Source organism: Homo sapiens, chromosome X (assembly GCF_000001405.40).
Source record: "Homo sapiens chromosome X, GRCh38.p14 Primary Assembly".
NCBI classification, from domain to species: Eukaryota; Metazoa; Chordata; class Mammalia; order Primates; family Hominidae; genus Homo; species Homo sapiens.
In genome coordinates, this window is record NC_000023.11 from 155,459,093 (window position 1) to 155,460,837 (window position 1,745).

The 1,745-nt window shown below is 59.7% G+C and overlaps 1 protein-coding gene across 1 annotated transcript, besides 2 other annotated features; it reads right to left on the reverse strand.

Annotated features, from left to right (window-relative positions):
• Positions 1-1,745: part of a non allelic homologous recombination region, noted in NCBI's record as "int22h-3 recombination region, recombines with the int22h-1 and int22h-2 recombination regions", that runs on past both edges of the window. NCBI's record gives the evidence for it as "EXISTENCE:polymerase chain reaction evidence [ECO:0000082][PMID:9694739]" and "EXISTENCE:restriction fragment detection evidence [ECO:0001124][PMID:8275087, PMID:8528212, PMID:7981669]".
• Positions 1-1,745: part of a meiotic recombination region, noted in NCBI's record as "meiotic double-strand break mapped by DNA meiotic recombinase 1 chromatin immunoprecipitation followed by single-stranded DNA enrichment and sequencing in the germ cells of some male individuals with PRDM9 A/A, PRDM9 A/B and PRDM9 A/C genotypes", that runs on past both edges of the window. NCBI's record gives the evidence for it as "EXISTENCE:chromatin immunoprecipitation-seq evidence [ECO:0000229][PMID:25395542]".
• On the reverse strand, positions 323-913 carry H2AB3 (H2A.B variant histone 3). Its single transcript, NM_080720.3, has one exon. It carries the CDS (start codon positions 833-835, stop codon positions 488-490), a length of 348 nt encoding a protein of 115 aa, NP_542451.1. The 5' UTR covers positions 836-913; the 3' UTR covers positions 323-487.

Below are 1,745 nucleotides of genomic sequence, written 5' to 3' on the forward strand. Positions count from 1 at the left end.
TTGCCTTAGAAGTCCGTCCTGTCGCAACACTGCAGTCATGGTCTTGAGGCCCACCCGCCCCAACGAACACCATCATGCTGAGGACTTTCCCGGGCAGGCCCTGACTTGCTCAGAACCAGCGGGGGTGTCCCCTTCCCACCCAGGGCCACTCCCCTGCACTGTCACCCGGAGAGACGGCTCCTCTGTGCCATCCCTGGCTCCCACCCAACCCCAGACCCCCACCACCTCTCCATCCCTCCAGCTGTGGAGGTCTCACAACCCCCCAACCCATCTCACCGCCCCCCCACCCCCACCCCAAGGCAAAGTGACTGAAGCGGGCAGATGGCTTCCTTGAAACATTTTATTGACAGAATTAATGAAGGCCCAAGACTTTGGGGCCTGGGTTGTGGGGGGAGGGTGTTTAAGGCCGGGGGTTCAGGCCGGGGGATTTGGGGCCGGGTGGGTGGACGAGTGGACCTGTCAGGTCCCAGGGGCCGGGTGTCAGAAGCTAGTCCTCGCCAGGGGCCACTTGAGAGATGGTGGTCGTGTTGAAAAGGGTGCTCAGTAGCCTGTCGTTGTGAACCACCATGTCCAGCAGCAGGGGAGTGATGTTCCGCTCTCCGCTGTTCTGGGCCTCGTTGCCCGCCAGCTCCAGGACCTTGGCCGTCAGGTACTCAATAACCGCAGCGAGGTAGACCGGCGCCGTGCGACTCAGGCGCTGAGCGTAGTGGCCCTCCCGTAGACTGCGCTCCACCTGGCTCACTGAAAACGAAAGCTCCGCTCGGACGGTGCGAGAGCAGGTCCGCCCCCGGCCGCCAGCACCGGAGGACCCTCGGCGTCTCCTCCTCCTCGGCATGCTGGGCGTTGAGTGTGCTATCTCGGCTTGGCCCAGCTAGGCAAGATGGCTCTCAAGAGGACAGTTACCGCGTCCAGTACTGTGTATCCTAGCGACCAGGGCCCAGCCCCTCATTGGCTAGGGAGCCGAGACCAATGGGCACGCACATCCGGCGACGGGCACGCATGTGGTGACGGCCCCTCACAAGGGACACACGTCCGTCAGGTGACCTCATCACTTTCCCATTGGCCTCGAGGGAGCAGGCCTGGGCCTAGAAGTGGCTGGAGGGCCGTGGGGGTGGGGTGGGGCGGGGCAGGGGGAATCGCGCTGGTGACCCTCTCTTTGCCAGTGGGAACTTTCCCTTTCTACTGGATGGGAACACCGTGGGAAAGACAAAGGGGTGGGCGAGGGGAGGACGGGTACCACGCCTTCACAATGTTGCACATCCATCACGACCACCTAGTTCCAAAACGTTTTCAACACCCCGAAAAGAAACCGAAACCCCTGTACCTATAAGCAGTCACTTGCCGCACGCCTCCTTCCACACCACCACTACCAGCCCCCACACCCTCCCACACACACCCCCTGCCCCCGCCCATACACACGTTCCCGATAGTCCCTGGCAACCCCTAGTCCATCTGCTTTCTGTCCATAGAGGTTAGCCTGTTCTGGAGATTTCCTATAGATGGAATTATACGACCAAATGTGAGGCCGTGTGTGTCTGGCTGCTTTCACTTAGCGTAATGGTTTCATCAGGGTGCATCCATGTAGAGGCATGAATCACTACTTCCTTCCTTTGAATGACTGAGTACGATTCTGTTGTATGAATAGGAGGCCACATTTTGTTTACCCACTCGTCAGTTGATGGACAGGTTATTTCCCCCTTCTGGCTATTGTGAGTGGCACTGCCATGACCATCTCTCTACAGGTT

Bases quoted from the DNA above. Each gene is read 5' to 3' on its own strand.
- H2AB3 (NM_080720.3), bottom strand. From the start codon at position 835: ATGCCGAGGAGGAGGAGACGCCGAGGGTCCTCCGGTGCTGGCGGCCGG.